The sequence below is a fragment of the Homo sapiens genome, chromosome 1 (assembly GCF_000001405.40).
Source record: "Homo sapiens chromosome 1, GRCh38.p14 Primary Assembly".
NCBI classification, from domain to species: domain Eukaryota; kingdom Metazoa; phylum Chordata; class Mammalia; order Primates; family Hominidae; genus Homo; species Homo sapiens.
Window position 1 is genome coordinate 108,934,605 of NC_000001.11, and position 19,498 is coordinate 108,954,102.

Consider the following 19,498-nt stretch of genomic DNA (forward strand, 5'->3'; position numbering starts at 1 on the left):
GAGTGAAGAGTATACTTTACAAAGCTCGAAGGAGACTTGAGGCTGTCGTTTGTGCTGGTGTTCCTCTAGCCACAGGGGCTGCTGACCGGATCCTGTCCACGTGGTCCAGCCACACCTCTTGCGGGGCTGTATGTGCTGCCTTGGTCTGGGCTGCCTGCGGCTTCAGACTTGAGCTGGGCCTTTTCCGCTGCGGGTGAACCTTCTGTATTCCCTGATGTGTCTTGGCCAGAGACAGGCTTGGCCGACTGGCTGCTTTCAGTACTGCTTTCTTTCGGTGTGCCTTCCCCCAGGATTCCACCTGTCTCCTTGGGCTTTGTATCCAAAACAGGTGATTTATGCTATAAAGTACAAAATTACATTTTAACTGTTTAATGTAATGTGAAGTCTTAGTAATCAAACATATCTAAAAAGTTCCCACCCAAATCCGTTGTAGCAAGCTCCAAACTCTTTCAAATCCAGGGTCCAGTGCTGGGTTATAATTATATAAATGTTATTATACCTCACCAAACTCCACAGTACTCCCACAGAGGAGTGGGAACGCTTAGCGCATATACTGGGTGGTCTAGTGGCCCAGCTTAGAAGGGGTCAAGAGAATTGGTCATCAGTATTGTCAACTTCTCTTGCCTGGTGAGAATAATTCATTTGACAAATATTTCTTGAGCATATATTAAGTTCTAGGTGTTAGGGATACAGCAGGAACAAAATACATAAAACTGTTCTCACTGGAACTTATATTTAGGTTAGAAGAAAATCACACAAGTGTGATATGTTGAATTAAAGAGGCTATGTAAAAAAAGCAGAGAAGAGATGAGTGCTGAATGTGGGTGGGCTGGCAGGGTCAAATTACAGTTTAAATTAGGGTGGTCTGAAAAAGTGATATGGTTAGGCATGGTGGCTCACACCTGTAATCCCATAACTTTGGGAGGCCAAGGTGAGAAGACTGCTTGAGGCCAGGAGTTTGAGACCAGCCTGGGTAACAGCAAGACCCCATATCCACAAAAAATAAAAAATATTAGCCAGGCATGGTCGTATATGCCTATAGTCCTAGTTACTCAGAAGGCTGAGGCAAAAGAATCGGTTGAGCCCAGGATTTTGAGGCTGCAATGAGCTATGATCACTGCACCCCAGCCTTGACCACAGAGTGAGACCTTGTCTCCAAAAATAATAAAAATGAGTAAAGGCCTGAAGAAAGTAACCATATGATTGATATATAAATGAAGACTGTAGAATGAACAGCAGGTACAAAGGCTCTCAAGTTCAAGGAACAGTCAGGAGCCCTTATGGCTAAAGTAGAGTAAGCACGGAGGGAGAAGAGGTGACCAGAGAGGTAGTGGATGTGGGGGAAGGGGAGACCAAGGAGGCTTCCAGGCCATTGTAATACTGGCTTTCCCCTCAAGTGAGATAGGAAGTCACTGGAAGACTTCTGAGATAGGTGACAGGTAATTACTAACTATAAAAGCTGGAAGGACCATCTTAAGTTGTTTTTTTTTTTTTTTTTTTTTTTTTGAGACGACGTCTCACTCTGTCACCCAGGCTGGAGTGCAATGGCACGATCTCGGCTCACTGCAACCTCCGCCCCCTGGAATCAAGCAATTCTCCTGTCTCAGCCTCCCAAGTAGCTGGGATTACAGGTGCATACCACATCACGCCTGGCTAATTTTCTTGTATTTTCAGTAGAGATGGGGCTTTGCCACGTTGGCCAGGCTGGTCTTGAACTGCAGACCTCCAGTGATCCGCCTGCCTCGGCCTCCCAGTGCTGGGATCACAGGCGTGAGCCGCCGCGCCTGGTCCATCTTTCTAGATACATGTAGATATGTTTATTTTTATATGAAACTATGGGAAGGGATTCTATAATTTCCCAGATTCTATTATGCTCATAACTGTTTCAAAGGTTTAACAGCTGCAATTTAAACATTTCAAATGACAATACAAATTCCTCTCTCAAACAGAAATGGAAATGTCCCTTTAAAAGACTGATAATGGTGAAAAACTTCTTCTTACCATTCTACAGGTAAAAAGTATAGTCTAGCCAGCCAATGACACTGAAGATTTGGGGAAGCAATGTTTTTGATCCCTGGCCCCAGCCCACTCTTCCATCCAGCTAATCCTTTAGGGCTCTACTGTACCTTCCCTAGAGCTCCGGGCCTTCAGTGATGCCTTCTCTCTGATCTCTTCAAAGATAGAAATTTCTGTCATGCTCATACGCTGGCTTCCCATGAAGGTTCATATGAATTACCATCTGCTCTAACAAACTACTGTTAAATTGTATTTTACATAAAAGTTAAATCTAATTTTATTTCTTCTGAGGAAGCTGAACTAACTTTTGACCAGAAAGGGGAGAGAGTGAGTGGCTGTATCACTCATGATATAATTAAGGGTGAGGGGTAAAAGAGTAAAAACAATCAGACCTCTTCCAGAAGGATTTAGAACCAGTAATGAAGGGACAGCAGAATAAAAGAGTTGCTGACTTACACTGGGTACCACCGTGGGATGCTCTCGTGCCTCTGCGTCTGGTACATCAAATGCCCGGAGCACTTCAGGGCTCTTGTTGCCAGTCTGAAATCTCAAGTCAACATCTCTCTCTCTCAAAATCTCTCTTCTACCCTCATACGTTTTGGCATAAGGGCCTTGCTCAGTGGGGCCCATTTGGCCCCTATAATGGAAATCGGCATCACCTGCTCCACCATCAGGTCTATAATCAATTTCCTCCTGCCGTCTTCTATCCCGTGGCCGAAGTGCCTGGGGAGGTTCGCTCTCAGGACCGCCTATATGTCTCAGCACATGAACTGATTTTCCAGCACCATAGCAGAAACTCTGTAAGGAAAAGAAATACATTTTCCTGAGGACTCAATGGCTAACTTACAAAAGTTATGAGGCATTTTATTCAGAGTGCTAACAAAGTTATGTAATTTAACTTACTTGTGGCATTTATAGACATAAACATGTTAATTTGACTTTTTTTCATTAGAGACCTCTTTAGATTAATACAAGGCCAGAGTGGCCAATAAAACTTAATAAATCTTTCAGTAGACATTTTAATCAGCTAGACACATTTCGATTGAACTATAACAATGGCAGGCTGAAGCCTAGATATTTAAATTAGAAGGTTCTAGTCTGATAATTATTCATGTTTCTAGATTCATGCCCATCATATAAGGTAAATGCTGAAAATATTTAAAGTTGTATATCATTATGTAAACAATCTTCTGTACATTTTCTTTTTACAAATATAAACTAGGCTTAAGTTACAGCTAAAATTCAACAGGTTTTGATTCACATTCCATGGGAAAAAGTAGGCAGCAGTTCCTTACAGTGTGGCCCAGGGACCCCCGGGGGATACCTGAGACTTTCAGGAGATCTATGAGATCAAAACTTTTCATAATACAAAGACATTATTATTTGTCTTTTTCACTGTCCCCTCCTGAATATACAACGGAGCATTCCAGATGCTAGAGTGACAGCCTCACTCAGACTCAGGGGATGCATGCTTGCGTGTACAGTACTCGTATGTTTTAAATTTGTTTTAACTCCTAATATGTAAGTATCAATAAATATAATCACCTTAAGTAAGAGCTGTTTGTGGGCTTCAATTTTTAAGACTGCAAAGAGGTCCTGAGAACAGAAACTTTGAAAATTTCTGTACTAGTTTTTCAAACACTACTATTTGAAGACAAAAGCAGCAAAAGTCAAAGAGCATAACTTTCCTGAGGGAGCACATGAAACAAAAACAGATGGTGAAGACTCTGCTGATAATTTCAGTTTCAGAGACTAAACTATGACTATAGAACTAATGTCACCTAACAAAAAAATACCCGTCAACCACATAATCCTGTAATCACAAGCCAAAAAACAAAACCAAAAAAGAAACGATTTCAAAGTGAACAGAGATAGTGAATCTTGTATCCTTAGGGAAGAGAATTTCCCTTGGCACATCTGAGTTCTTTTTGTTTTATGCGACAACTGCTTTACTTGGGTAATAGCTAAAAAATCGATAACAAAAAACACTGAATAGACCATGGAGGGATGACGAGTAATATTTCTTCTTAATGTCTGCTCCTGGATCCCCAAACTCTTTCTCAGCATACCCATGTTCTTCCACATCCCTTTCTGGTTCTGTGTCAAACTCAATGCTCTACCCTTCTCACTGCTGCAAAAACTGACTAGAAATAAGAAGTCCCCCTTTCTGGGAGACAGAAATCAACTTCCTATTTCCTGTGTATTAATTTACCAAGGTTAACACATTTAAAAAGAGGTTATTATTCTAAATCACTGCTATGACATATGCAATCAAACTAGAGAACTACTTTCTTGATTATAAAAATATACAAGTAAGTATAATATGTCTGTATCATTTAGAGGGGCAGAGGGGAGGAAAAAAATCTGTATCACTTAAAAATCGCCTTCTCATTAAGCGTGACTTAGCCTGATTTACAACATCAAAGAAGCCCAATAATTTTAGCATTGCCTTTTTTTCTGTAAATCTTGCTAAATATTGACAGTGCTAATATTTAATACTAACCAGTATTACTAATATTAATACTAAGATTTAATATAAATCTTGCTAAATACTGACAGTGCATATATATATATAAATATAAATATATAATATATAAATATATATTATATATAATAAATATATAAATATAGACAGATATATAAATATAAATATATATAGATAGATATATAAATATACATATATGTATAATTTTTTTTTTTTTTTGAGACGGAATCTTGCTCTGTCGCCCAGGCTGGAGTACAGTGGTGCGATCTCGGCTCACTGCAAGCTCCGCCTCCCAGGTTCACCCCGTTCTCCTGCCTCAGCCTCCCGAGTAGCTGGGACTACAGGCGCCCGCCACCACGCCCGGCTAATTTTTTGTATTTTTTTTAGTAGAGACAGGGTTTCACTGTGTTAGCCAGGATGGTCTCGATCTCCTGACCTCGTGATCCGCCCGCCTAGGCCTCCCAAAGTGCTGGGATTACAGGCGTGAGCCACCGCGCCTGGCCCGACAGTGCTAATATATTAATACTAACCAGGATGGCTAATGCCATAATTATCAGCACTGGAAGATGAAGCAGCGCTGGAATTTCCTTCATGAGTGCTTTAATAAATTCCCCAGTTCCTTTTCCAATATGCTTCAATGGCTCCGTTACAAATGTGGTGAATGTAACTGCAAGTGCCTAAAACGAGAGAAAAGCAACTTAATTTTCTCCTCACAGGACTAAGGTACAGAATGCATCAAAATTCATTGAGTACTGATGCTGAAAGTATGTTACATAAATTAAAATGCTGTTGTGCCATTTTTAATGTGAAAATCACTGTGCAAAAGTATTTTTTCTTGGACAAACGCTTATTAGCAAAATGACTCAAACACTAAAGTTCTTTAAAATACAAGGGATTTCTGACTGACTTTAAGTAATTTTTACAAAATATATGCTATACCTTTGTTGGTGGGACCAACCAAATAGGGTTGACTAGTAAGAGCTCATAGTATTTTTGGCATGGGTCATCCTTATAGGTCCATGAACTTCTAAACCATTCTGTTTAGAGAAACAGACAAAACACTGATCATTTCTTTTAATGTTGCATTTCATTCCCAAACAAGACATTACTTTGGTTTTGACCCTCCCTGACCACCCACCAATGAGTTTTAAATTATCTTAAGTTTTAAGTAGACTCCCTGTAATGCTGATTTTTAAATTTTTCATCTTATGTCCAAAATCATGTTTTAAAAATCCATTCAAATTATACATGTTTTATGCAGATAAAAAATTGTATTTTATAAAAATGTCTAAAAGGTAAACACTTTAAAAGCAATGCTTCACAAACACAAATGAGTACAGGTAAAATGGGAAGTCGAAATAAGACTGGTGGATTGTATCAAAGTCAATATCCTGGCTCTGATATTGTACTATTAAAGCTGTGCAAGATGTCACCACTGGAGGAAAATGGGGAAAGGGTACACGGGCTCTCTCTGTAGTATTTCTTACTGTGTGAATCCACAATTACCTCAGTAAATTTTTAATTTAAAAAGTCAGTTCTTTATGGAGTTTACAAAATAAAGTGGAATATTAGTTCTAATTTTTCCAAATCAGGCTTATATACGTTGGGAAACTAGCCTGAGCTAGAGGAGGCATTTCACTGTCCACTGAAGCCAGGAAGGAAGGCTGAATTGGTTTAGTTCCCACAACTTTTTAAGAAACATTTATTTTGGATTCCATCTGCAGAATTCCGTGTCAGTCATGGACTTGCATTTATAAAATGCCTTGGAACATTATTAAACCATCCCCATTGCTAGATACATACAACCAAAGGTAGTGAACATTCATGAGAATGTTTATAAAATGTGAAAGAATAAAAAAACTAATTTTTCCCGTAGTTAAAAAAAAGTAAAGCTACAACATAAAATTTCACAAGTCAATATAAGGCCATTAAATTTAAGATGGATATTAATTCATATATACATTCATTCACTTGTTTAATAAACTTCTATTGAGAATATGCCAGACCCTGTGCAAAGAACGAGATGAACAAAAGCGAGCATAGGATCCTTCACACAGTCTTATGAAGGAAGACAGATAATATCAGAGCCAACATATATACAACTTCTATTCCTTCCCTGTGACTTTAGATGAGCATAAAAAGTCACTGGTTTTAAACCTAAAATGCTTCTTGCATGTTCTTCTGATATTAAAGATTCAGTCATGGAAAGCCTCCTGTTATTTTATCATTCTCTTTGTTCTATGTTCTTTCATTCTCAGAATTTCTATTCAAAATAAGGACAAGTGCACAAACACCTTACCCCAGATACTTCCAGTCCAGTCCATCTTTTTGGCACACACATTGTTTAATGGCTCCATCTTGGCGACTTCAGCCTGATGCTGTGCAAAAGCTAGCTGCCCAACACCAAAAGGGAACCAGGAGAGGCCGTTACCTATGAAGGTTAGGCCTACACATCCAAAAGACCTTCATTCAAAGAGTGTCTTTACCATTCATCCAAACCAGACTGTTATAAATTTTTAATTAAAAAAAAACATATTATTATTACTATTTTTTCTCTTTTTTTCCTGAGACGGAGTCTCGCCCTGTCACCCACGCTGGTGTGCGGTGGCACAATCTCGGCTCACTGCAACCACCACCTCCCGGGTTCAAGCGATTCTCCTGCCTCAGCTTCCCGAGTAGCTGGGATTAAAGGTGCCCGCTACCACGCCCAGCTAATTTTTGTATTTTTAGTAGAGACGGGGTTTCATCATGTTGGCCAGGCTGGTCTTGAACTCCTGACCTCAAGTGATCCGCCCGCCTCAGCCTCCCAAAGTGCTAGGATTATAGGAAAACATATTATTTGTAAAGAGTAGCTATTTCCAGTTCATGGAAAAGTACAGCCTTAATGCAACAAGTAAGCATAAAGTACTAACTACAATTGCCTTCTCTGTAAGTAATTATAATGAAAAAGGGAAACTTTACTAAAAATATTGTTTTTAAAAATTAGTTCAGCCAGGCGTGATAGCACGGGCCTGTAGTCCCAGATAGGAGGCTGAGGCAAGAGAATCGCTTGAACCCGGGAGGTGGAGGTTGCATTGAGCCGAGATTTCACTACTGCACTCCAGCCTGGGGGACAGAGTGAGACTGTCTCAAAAACAACAGCAACAACAACAACAATTAGTTCTAGCCATACAAATTAAATGACTACTTCTTATTTTCTTTTATAGTTGATGATATCCTATTTTGCACTGGATAATTTCCAGTACAATGACCAATATACAATCATTAAGGTGACAATACTCAAGCAACTTTCCTTCCACACAGAATCTGTGTTTAATTTGTAAATAATTAGTTCTAAATACTATAATACTTACAGCAAAAGGTTAAGGAAATGTCACAATGCTTTAACCAGATGAAATCATTGAAAATACTTGGCTACTTGACTCACTCTGCTAGAAAGATCTAAAATTTTCTTTCAATGATTATTATTTATGCTATGTTGATGGGAACAGTAGTGGTCCTTTCCAATTTCTATATACAGTATGATCCCAACTTTGAAAGATAATTAAAATCTAGAAAAATCTAGAAAGAAATACCTTAAACTACTGACAGATTTTCTCTAGGTGATAAAATTATAGGTTATTTTAAAAATTAATTTCCTTGTATCTGCCTTTTCTAAATTCTCTGCCATGAATATACCACTTATTCAAAAAATAACCTAATTTTTAAAAAATAATATTTTGGTATCATTTCTAGCAAAGACATAGAATGACATACTCTAAATTACCTACATGATAATTTTTAAATGTATCCACATAGCTTTATTCTTTTTTTTTTCTTCCTTGTTTTTGAGACAGACCTCACTCTGTGGTCCAGGCTGGAGTGCAGCAGCGCAATCTTGGCTCACTGCAACCTCTCAGGTTCAAGCAATTCTCCTGCCTCAGCCTGCTGAGTAGCTGGGACTACAGGTGCACGTCACCAGGCCCAGCTAATTTTTGTATTTTTAGTAGAGACAGGGTTTCACCATGTTGGCCAGGCTAGTCTTGACCTCCTGACCAAGTGATCTGCCCACCTCAGCCTCCCAAAATGCTGGGATTACAGGCATGAGCCACCACACCCAACCCACCTGGCTTTATTCTGACTTAGATGCCCAAATGTTAACATTAACTGGGTTATGAAAATTAGGACTGAACTTTTTTACCCACTAACTGGTCAAGGAATCAAAAAACTGTCAGCTAAGAAGTGTCCATTTAATTCCTCTCCAGCGTGGGCCACCTCTAATCACTGCCTCCAACCCACATCCAAGGCAAGATTGCTCTCAATGGATTAGAGTCTTCTTTCATTGTGAATAAATGTGTTAAAATTGTAAAACCCTCCATCCATATAATACCTTATATAAATACATCCAATTCCATCCCAAACTGAACAGAAAGCTGATGATTAAAACACGTCTCAACTGAGTGTACCAACGTACATATGTCCACAGCTCAGTAGCCACTAAAACCACGATGCAGAGCAGACAAAGAAGTACCTTAAAACAGAGAGAAGCAGAAATCAGCCACCAAAAACACTTAAGACAGCTAAAAAGAACTGGACTCAAAAGCACAAAATCATTTCTACAATTTTGTGGCTTGTTCATCAATACGGTATAAGTGACCTAGTACAGGTTCTTAACGTAATTATGGTGGAGTTTGGAAAGTATTTTAAAAAGGAAACTTAATGACGTTGCCCTTGCCCTCATCCCATCTTACCATTAACACATTATATGGATCCACTCCAAAGGAATCTTCGAATCGCCACTTCCATGTTTCAAAATCATGAAACTTAAAATTAATTAAAATATCACTTAGTGCATCATCCAAGGCACCTGGTTTCCAGTCTTCTCCATTGAGAAACTTCTGTATTTCTAACAAAGTTTCTCTTTTAAGGATAATCTCAGCATCATAATGCATATCGCCTTTGTTTTCATCAGGCTAAATTAAATTTACCAAAAAACAAACAATAGAAAGAGAATTTTATTACTACTTGGTGAACCATTTTAAGACAAAAGCCAATTTGGAACTAAATATTAGTTTGCAGTATTTCATATGTATAAGAATAATAGCCTGGGCAAGGTAGCTCACACCTATAATCCTAGTGCTTTGACAGGCCAAGGTGGGAGGATAGCTTGAAGCCAGGACTTCAAGACCAGCCTGGGCAACAAAGCGAGACCCCATCTCTACAAAAAATTCTAACCATTAGCTGTGTGCAGTGGTGTGCACCTGGCTCCTGCCTACTCAGCAGGCTGAGGCAGAAGAATTGTCTGTGCCCCGGATTCGAGGCTGCAGTAAGCTATGAGCATACCACTGCACTCCAGCATGGGAGACAGAGTAAGACCCTGTCTCTAAAAAAAAAAAATAATAATAATATCCACCTGTCTTCACAGGCCAACATGAAAACCAAAGATAATATACATGAAAAACATTTAAAAATTCTAGAACTCTATGTAAAAAAGATACTGTAAATTTCACTAAAATACAGTTGATTCTTGCTATTCGCAGTAGTTATCGTCTTTTTTTTTTTTTAGATGGAGTCTCACTCTGTCGCCCAGGCTGGAGTGCAGTGACGCAATCTCTGCTCACTGCAAGCTCCACCTCCTGGGTTCACGCCATTCTCCTGCCTCAGCCTCCCATGTAGCTGGGACTACAGGTGCCCGCCACTACGCCTGGCTAATTTTTTCTATTTTTAGTAGAGACGGGGTTTCACCGCATTAGCCAGGATGGTCTCGATCTCCTGACCTCATGATCCGCCCGCCATGGCCTCCCAAAGTGCTGGGATTACAGGCGTGAGCCACTGCACCCGGCCTCACAGTAGTTATCTTCTATAAAGTCACCTCAAACACCAATTAGCAAGTACTGAACCATTACTCCTATAATAAATACAGGGTTTGGTTCGTGCAAACCTGTCATAACATTTTTATCAATTGATCAATATATAACCTTGTTTTATGTGTGTTTCTGTACATTCCTGTTTAAGGACACCTTATTTAAAATACATATTGTTCATTCACTAACACTGAACACATGGACAACTGTCCTATACCTTACGCTTGACTGAAGCCTATCTAATACACACCTTTTCCTTTTCTCTGTAAGTACATCGTGGCCTTCTTGCACTTAGAAACACTAGACCTCAGCTCAGCACTACATCAGAGGGCCGTTTTAAACAACGAAATGATGCTGTTTAATGATTGGTCTCAAAATAAAAATAAAAAAAATCACCCCTCTCCCCTCAAAAAAGCACGAAAAAATATACCACTAAATAGACCACAAAAAAAGACACTTGTTTGCAGTACGAGAGCTGAAACAAGAAAACAGTTTTGATTGCCTTGTTCCATCTCAGCTGGGAATGCCTGCAACAGGCAACCCAAATTTTTTACCACTCTTCACTGTGTCCCAGAGTAACCACAGAACACCTCGATTATTGACTTTGGGGTTACACAGACTTAATGAGGTCAATTCATAAATACGGAATCTGTGAAGAATGAGGATCAACTGTGCATCTTCATTTTATGATTCACTGCATGACTTTTCATTTCCTGACAGTTTTCAGATAGCCTAAAATCTGTATTAGTGCAAACAAGAAAAACAAGAAGGATCTCAAAGAGCAACAAAATAATGGGTTTCCATAAATTACATATTTATAACTACCTTTATTAGTGTGAGTTCAGCTTAGCAAAATCACTAAACAAATTTTGCATTAATTAGCCAGTTGATACAAATAAAATTCCTTTTTCTTTTATAAACAGTAAATACAAGGTGGGACATGGTGGCTCACACCTGTAATCCCAGCACTTTGGGAGGCCGAGGCGGTCAGATCACTTGAGGTCAGGAGTTTGAGACCAGCCTGGCTAACATGGTGAAATCCTGTCTCTACTGAAAACACAAAAATATTAGCCAGACGTGGCCGGGCGCGGTGGCTCATGCCTATAATCCCAGCACTTTGGGAGGCATGAGGCAGGCGGATCACGAGGTCAGGAGATCAAGACCATCCTGGCTAACACGGTGAAACCCTGTCTCTACTGAAAATACAAAAAATTAGCCGGGCATGGTGGCGGGTGCCTGTAGTCCCAGCTACTCAGGAGGCTGAGGCAGGAGAATGGTGTAAACCTGGGAGGCGGAGCTTGCAGTGAGCGGAGATTGCGCCACTGCACTCCAGCCTGGGTGACAGAGCAAGACTCTGTCTCAAAAAAAAAAAAAAATCAGAAACTAAATATTTTCCAGCATTTCCATCTTAAGTATTTTTGGTTCCATCTGTTTCCTTATCTAGGTTCTGTTCCACCCTGTACGTAGCTGTAAGGCTCAAATTACAGAGTGTACGTATGAGAACGCATCTGCTTCTACATTTCCAGAATAAGGTGGCGTTATTCATCTAACACTCCTTTTTCTTTTGGTCACTTCTTACTGTACCAGGAAGATGGAGTATATGGCAAGTTTTGCCAGCCTACACTGTGCTGATGCAAGGGCCTTTCATTTTCAGGGATCTGCCTGTAACCACTTCTGGCAGGTGGGGCTAATGGCCAGATCAAGACCAAAGGCTGGTCTCTGACTCTCTAAGTCAATTCTGGTGGCACACACAATAGGAAAAAAAAAGTCTATGAGCTTTTAAATGAGCTTTCTAAATGTTATAAGTTATTAAATTTATGTTTTCTTGATGTTTTCACTTTGGTAAGTGAATTAAAACTAAATTAATGCATTAAGTCTGGGAAGTTTTCACTTCCCAAAGTGAAAACAGTGACTTCTTAAAAATAGAAATTTTGGCCAGGTGCGGTGGCTCACACCTGTAATCCCAGCACTTTGGGAGGCCAAGGCAAGCGGATCACCTGAGGTCAGGAGTTTAAGACCAGCTTGGCCAATATGGCAAAACCCCATCTCTACTAAAAATACAAAAATTAGCCAGGCATGGTGGCAGGTGCCTGTAATCCAGCTACTCGGGAGGCTGAGTCAGGGAGAATTGCTGGAACCCGGGAGGCAGAGGTTGTAGTGAGCCAAGATTGCACGACGGTACTCCGGCCTGGACAACAGAGCGAGACTCTGTCTCAAAAAAAAAAGGAAATTTTAACAATAATTATGAACAATATGTCTATAAAGTAGCACTCACCACAGTAAACAACAAGGAGAAAAACTACAGAAAACACATTTTTCTTTTTCTCAGCATATACTGAGAGAAAACAAGGAGTAGGATCAGAACAGAATTATCACCCCACCTCCTCACCTCCATTAACTGGTGGAGCAGTGCACAGAGCTGAGTAAGTAAATCCATACAAACTAGAGGAGAAAGAGCGGTCTGCACTGCTCATCTTCCACCAGACCACTGCAAAGCAGTATAGTAGTGCCTTTAATCCTGAATGAATAGCTTCTGGTTAAAGAGTCAGTCAGGTGGTCTCTGTTAAAAAGCATCATGATGCTTTCACTTCTTCATATTATTTGAAATTAATAAATAAAAATATACACTATACGGATTAGTATCACACCATCAAATACTCACAAGTCCAAGCTTTCCAGCTTCAATTAAAATCTTATTTAAGTATCTCCTAAAAACAGGATTGCTTTGACTTTCATAGTCTTCCCTCTTTTTCTTTTCACACTCATCAATCTGTAACCATAAAATCAATTCAACATTAGTTAGAGTCAAAGTATAATATAAGGGTTAAGTTTCTAGCCTAGTGCTGTCATCGGAATCAAGGTAAGGAGCTAGTTGTTTTGATCAAGTTTGCATTTATCAGCTATAATACATTACAGTGCAGAGCTGGCCTGCTTCCCCATGTTCTCTTTGCAAAGGGCAAGTAGGCAACAAATAAGGAGCACAGATCCAATACTTAGCCCTAACCTGGCAGTTTTTCTGCTGACTTTCAGCAACTTTAAAGCTAAAGGAGGCAGAGATCCACAAGCAGAGCATCTGGACCAATCTGCCTCTTTCTAATTCCAAAGCAACAATTTAACAAGAGAAAGAAGGAAGGAAGGGCAGGAGGGAAGAGTAGAATAAATACACAGAGAGAAACAAAGGGACAGAGAAACAGAAACAAGATGAAGCCAGACGATGAAATGAAGGACACAACAGAGTATTTCTTCAATGTGCATATGACTTTTGGCCTTTTATTAATGTTTTAATCAGCAATTAATCATCCCATGCTGTATGGAATGCTCAGGAAGGCAGGAACTGCAGCTTCTCCAGGGTACCACCCACATGGCAACCCTTCAGCACACAATTCTACACGGGAGCAGACTTCCTACGAACTTAGCTCTGCCACCACCAACCCAGCAGGCAAGTCGCTGAGGGTAGTGGGTATTTTTCAAACATTAGAATAACTTTGTGATCATCAACTTGCATTTTTTAACGGAGTGTGGACCATGAGTTGAGCGCTGAAATGCACATCAGTGGATAAACATGACAATAATTGAGCAGCACACAGACTTAAGAAGGACACTGAGCAGAGAAGGAAATAGAAGAACACAGCAGTTTCCTTTGCTCTCAGGCAAGGTTTGTAAAACCAGTTTATTTTCTAAACCTTAAAGAAACAACTTAGGAAAAAAAAAAAAAAGAATTCAAGACTCCATTTTGCCAACCATGTTTCTTAGAATGTTTAAACCAGTCACAAACAATGGAATAAAAAAATTCTGTAAAAAGGTATTTCTGCATTTTTGCTGTGCAGCCAAACTTTTGTATAGCTCACTATACAATAATAATACACAAAGTGAAGCAATTTTTTTTTCCTTTTCTTTTTCTTGTGGCTTCCTCAAATCATGGGAGTGAAGCAAATTTTATCCAAGCGCACCTTCTCAACCACTCAGGTGAGACAGTATTCGTACTTAATAAGAATCACAAGCAGGTGGGTATAGATCTTATTGGGCTATATCTGGATCTCAGTGAACAAACTCTCCCAGTCTCTCAAGCTGGGACTCATTCACTCTAGCTCTTCCCTATCCCTTATCCCCCCTACTTCCCTAAGCCATCAACATTTGCCTATTCTACCTCATAAAAGTTTAATATCTGCCTCTTATCTTCAACCCATCACTGCCTCATTTCAGACCTTCAGCATTGCTGGACCTCTGCAGCCTCCACTGATCTCACTGACACCCCCCTTCTCCATTCCAGGCCTCACCTCCTTACCTCCACACTGCTACCAGTTCACCCTGCCTACGCAGCCAACCGAGGGTGGCTCCCACAGCACATAACGACTACATTCACATCCCTTGACTTATTTATTTTTGTGTAAACTCTTCAGCTACATTTTTTTAAGAGGATTGGATAAATGAAGGAATGAATAGCTATTACACACTAAATTATAATAATCCTTCTTAAGAGTAACTCTTATTCGTATAAGCTGGTAATAGACACATTTCTTCATTTGCTACATTTGTTGAGAGTTTACTATGCCTCAGCCCTGTGATAGGTGACAGAGAATTAAGATCAATAAAACGTATTCCTTGCACCAAGAAGTCTGCAGTCTGGTAAAGAAATACTTACAACACAGAGATGTCAATGTTATTACAGGAAAATACAAGGTACTACTAGAAAAACCAAGGCTAGAATAACTAATAAGAAACCAAGGTTAGAGTATCCAAAGAAAAATTTGACATATAAAAATCATACGGTACACGGAAACACTAGAAATACAAATTTATCAGCAGAGACAAGAATATAGAGCGATTTAACATAATATAAAAATATAAAATTTATCAATAAAAAAACTAACCTTATAAGTTAAAGAATCAAGTTTGTGATAACATTCTGATATTTCATCAGCACATGACAAGTCAGGACTGACATCCTTTTCCCCTGAAATACCATATTTTGCCTAAAACAGAGTATAGAAACATTTTATTTCTTTATAGTTTAGTTACAAAAATAGCCTTTGGTTAATGAAGACTAAGATTCTGACTTCATCATTTCATGACTCTGCATGTTATATTCTTAAATTGTACTGAACCACAAAAAAAAAGTTTCAAATGTACACACTAAGAACTAAAATCATATTATTTTGCTACTTCAAGGGCTTTACATTCAAATTCAATACCAGGTAGGTTTGAAATAATTTTAGATTAACAGTGTCAAGAAAATATTCTGCATAATTGCTAATCATGGATCCATGACCCTCATAGCTCTGTGCAAAACAACAGAGCTAGACTGTTTCCATCATGGGACTGATAAGGTCTCACACACATGCACGAATTTTTTTTAATACCTGAGATTTTCTCATTGTTCCTGAAGCAGCATCATAGTTAAGCATGTCTGTGGGGTCAATCCAGTCATCATCATGAGCATAACCAGCTACCAGCAACAGACATTCACAAAGGAGCAAAGAACACAGCATCCTGTATAAGGCTAAAACAATTTTTAATATATATAATGAAATAGAATTATTTTTTTAAATAAATTGGGTTTTGGGTTATTATTATTATTATTATTATTTTTAGAGACAGGGTCTTGCTCTATTGCCCAGGCTGGAGTACAGTGATACAATCACAGCTCAGTGCATCCTCCAACTCCTGGGCTCAAGAGGTCCTCCTGGCTAGCTGGGACTACAGGTGTGTGCCACCACACCTGGATAATTTTTTTTTTTTAATTTTTAGTAGAGACAGGGTCTCACTATGTTATCCAGGCTGGTCTCAAACTCCTGGCCTCAACTGATCCTCCCACCCTGGCCTCCCAAAGTGCTAGGATTATAGGCATGAGCCATTGCACCCAGCCAGATTGTTTTGTAATGAAAACTACTTCCTTCTAGAGTTAAGATAACACTTTCTGAACAGTATCTAAGGAAGAAGGTACACAAAATAAAAATAAATTGGTGTTCATATATTAAAAAAATGCATATATGCATAATATGCTCACTGATATAAGAAAATAGGTATTTTTCCATATGGCCCAGCAATTCCATTGCTAGGTATATACCCAAAAGAAATGAAAATATATGTCCACACAAAAACTTGTACATGAATGTTCAGAGCCACATTTTTCGTAATAGCCAAAAGGTGGGAAAAACCCAAATTTCCATCAACAGGGCCAGGTGTGGTGGCTGACACATGTAATCCCAGCACTTTGGGTAGGTGGATCACTTGAGCTCAGGAGTTCAAGACCAGGCTAGGTAATGAAAAAAATAACCAAAAAATTAGCCAGGCGTGGTAGCGCAAGCCAGTGATCCCAGCCCCTTGGGAGGCTGAGGCAGGTGGATCGCTTGAGCCTGGGAGGCAGAGGTTGCAGTGAGCCAAGATCACACCACTGCACCCCAACCTGGGTGACAGAGTGGGACCCCCATCACAGAAAAAACAACAACAACAAACAAATTTCCATTAACTGATAAATAAAACTGGTATAGCCATGCAATGGAATATTATTCAGCCATAAAAAGGGATGAAATACTGACACCATGCTACAACACATATGAACCTTGAAAATGCTACATTATGTGAAAGAAACCAGATATGAAAGACCACACATTATATAAGTACATATATATGAAATGTCCAGAATAGGCAAATCTATTAAGACAGAAAGTAGATTAACAGGTGGTTAAGGCTGAAGGTTTGGGAGTATAGTAGCTAAAGGGTACAGGGTTTCCTTTTGAGGTAATGAAAAATGTTCTAAAATTATAATAATGGTTGCAAATACATGCAAATATACCCAAAACCGTTGAATTGTATACTTTTTTTTTTTTTTTTTTGAGACAGGGTCTCTCCCTCTGTTGCCCAGGCTGGAGTGCAGTGGCACAATACCAGCTTACTTGCAGACTCAACCTCCCAGACTCAAGTGATCGGCCCACCTCAGCCTCCTGAGTAGCTGGGACTACAAGCTTACACCACACCTGGCTAATTTTTTAAAATTAATTAACTTTTTTGTAGAGATAGGGTCTCACTATATTGCCCAGGCTGGTCTCAAACTCCTAGGCTCAAGCTATCCTCCCACCTCGGCCTCCCAAAGTGCTGGGATTACAGGCATGAGCCACTGCACCTGGTGGAACTGGACACTTTAAATGGGTGGATTATATAGTATGTGATTTATAGCTCAATAAAGTCAATTTAAAAACAGGTATTTTAACGAATCTCCCCCCTATTTTTGGGTTTTTTGTTTTTTTGAGACAGAGTTTCACTCTTTTTGCCCAGGCTAGAGTGCAATGGCGCAATCTCGGCTCACTGCAACCTCTGCCTCCCAGGTTCAAGCGATTCTCCTCCCTCAGCCTCCCAAGTGGCTGGAATTACAGGCATGGGCCACCATACTTGGCTAATTTTGTATTTTTAGTAGAGATGGGATTTCTCCATGTTGGTCAGGCTGGTCTCGAACTCCCGACCTCCACCCCACCTTGGCCTCCCAAAGTACTGGGATTATAGGCATGAGCCACAGCGCTTGGCCCCCCCTGTTTTTTTTTAACAAATGAGAAATAAGAAAAGTGGGAAACTGCCAGGTGCAGTGCCTCACGCCTGTAATCCCAGCACTGTGGGAGGCCAAGCTGGGCGGATTACTTGAGGCCAGGAGTTCGAGAGCAGCCTGGCCAACAAGTTGAAACCCCATCTCTACTAAAAACACAAAAACTCAGCCAGGCATGGTGGTGTGTGCCTGTAATCCCAGCTACTCAGAAGGCTGAGGTAGGAGAATGGCTTGAACCCAGGAGGCAGAGGTTGCAGTGAGCTGAGATCGCGCCACTGCACTCCAGCCTGGGTGACAGAGTGAGACTCTGCCTTTAAAAAAAAAAAAAAAGAAAGAAAGGTGGGAATTTACGATTCAAATGCAGTGACTAAACTTCAAAACCATTCAGAGAAAATAACCTGCCTTACCTAAGCCCCTGCATAAACAGTCAAATAATTTAAACACTTAGTAACTCCTCTATGTAGCTATTTAATTAAAATTAAATAAAATTTAAAATTCAGTTCCTCATTCCCCCTAGCTACATTTCAAGCACTCAATAGTCACATATGGGTAGTGGCTACCATATTGGACAGGGTGGATACAGAACATTTGAACATTTTTATCATCGAAGAAAGTTCTGTTGGGCAGCCTATCTTATACCTACTACATATAAGAATCAGGCAAGAGAACCCCAAGATGACAAAGCCCTGGGCCCTGCCCATAAACAGCTTACGGTCTAGTTGTACAATAAAAATCACTCTAGGCTAAATTAAATACTCCTGTTCCCCATGTGCCCTGTATATTCTTCTGGCATTGGAAGCAATGAAATTAGCCATTTATCGGTCTGTCTCTTCCATTAGCACAATAGCTCTCAACCTTGGCTCCATATTAGAATCACCCGAGGAGCTTCTGAAACTCCCAATGTTTTGGCCATATCCCAAAACCATTAAATCAGAATCTCTGGGATTAGGACCCAGGCACTTCGATCTTTTTAAGCTCCCCAAGTGATTCTAATGTGTAGCCAAGACAGAAAACCACTGTTAATGTGAACTTCTCTAGGGAAAGATAGTATCTTACCTAGATCTGAAGTCACCTTCCCACTGGCCTCTCTATCTTGTCCCTCCATCTCCCCAACCTCAACACCCAGCCCAGTGGTTGGCACGTGAAAGACATTCAGTAAATGTTTGTTAAGCAGCAAATGCAAATAAAGCCATAGCAAGGACTCAAGGATTTTAGAGGTTCAAAGGATAAAGAAAGCACATCTGGCCAGGTGCAGTAGCTCACGCCTGTGATCCCAGCACTTCGGGAGGCCGAGGCGGGCAGCTCACCTGAGGTCAGGAGTTCGAGACCAGCCTGACCAACATGGAGAAACCCCATCTCTACTAAAAATACAAAATTAGCTGGGTATGGTGGTGCATGCCTGTAATCCCAGCTACTCGGCAGGCTGAGGCAGGAGAATAACTCGAACCTGGGAGGCAGAAGTTGCAGTGAGCCAAGATCATGCCATTGCACTCCAGCCTGGGCAACCAGAGTGAAACTCCGTCTCAAAAAAAAAAAAAAAAAACACATCCGACTGGAGAAACTAGAAAGTGGAAAGACTGCACAGGAATGGGAATCCGAGGTATGGGTAACATCTTA

At 40.1% G+C, this 19,498-nt stretch overlaps 1 protein-coding gene across 18 annotated transcripts in view; it reads right to left on the reverse strand.

Annotated features, from left to right (window-relative positions):
* Window positions 1–19,498, reverse strand: part of CLCC1 (chloride channel CLIC like 1) — a 33,980-nt gene that overhangs the window by 5,100 nt on the left and 9,382 nt on the right. For 6 of the 18 annotated variants that reach the window (NM_001377464.1, NM_001377466.1, NM_001377465.1 and 3 more), the window contains 10 exons: window positions 15,705–15,844; window positions 15,216–15,317; window positions 13,007–13,114; window positions 9,232–9,453; window positions 8,871–9,011; window positions 6,801–6,894; window positions 5,441–5,538; window positions 5,032–5,178; window positions 2,473–2,814; window positions 21–338 (listed from right to left, as the gene is read on the reverse strand). In NM_001377464.1, coding sequence (NP_001364393.1) covers window positions 66–338; window positions 2,473–2,814; window positions 5,032–5,178; window positions 5,441–5,538; window positions 6,801–6,894; window positions 8,871–9,011; window positions 9,232–9,453; window positions 13,007–13,114; window positions 15,216–15,317; window positions 15,705–15,833 — 1,656 coding nt within the window. In that variant the 5' untranslated portion in view covers window positions 15,834–15,844 and the 3' untranslated portion in view covers window positions 21–65. Of the gene's footprint in view, window positions 1–15; window positions 339–2,472; window positions 2,815–3,561; window positions 3,705–5,031; window positions 5,179–5,440; window positions 5,539–6,800; window positions 6,895–8,870; window positions 9,012–9,231; window positions 9,454–12,733; window positions 12,905–13,006; window positions 13,115–15,215; window positions 15,318–15,704; window positions 15,845–19,498 lie in introns of those variants that run through there. The other 12 variants (NM_001377462.1, NM_001377468.1, NM_001377460.1 and 9 more) reach the window with 8 other exon arrangements.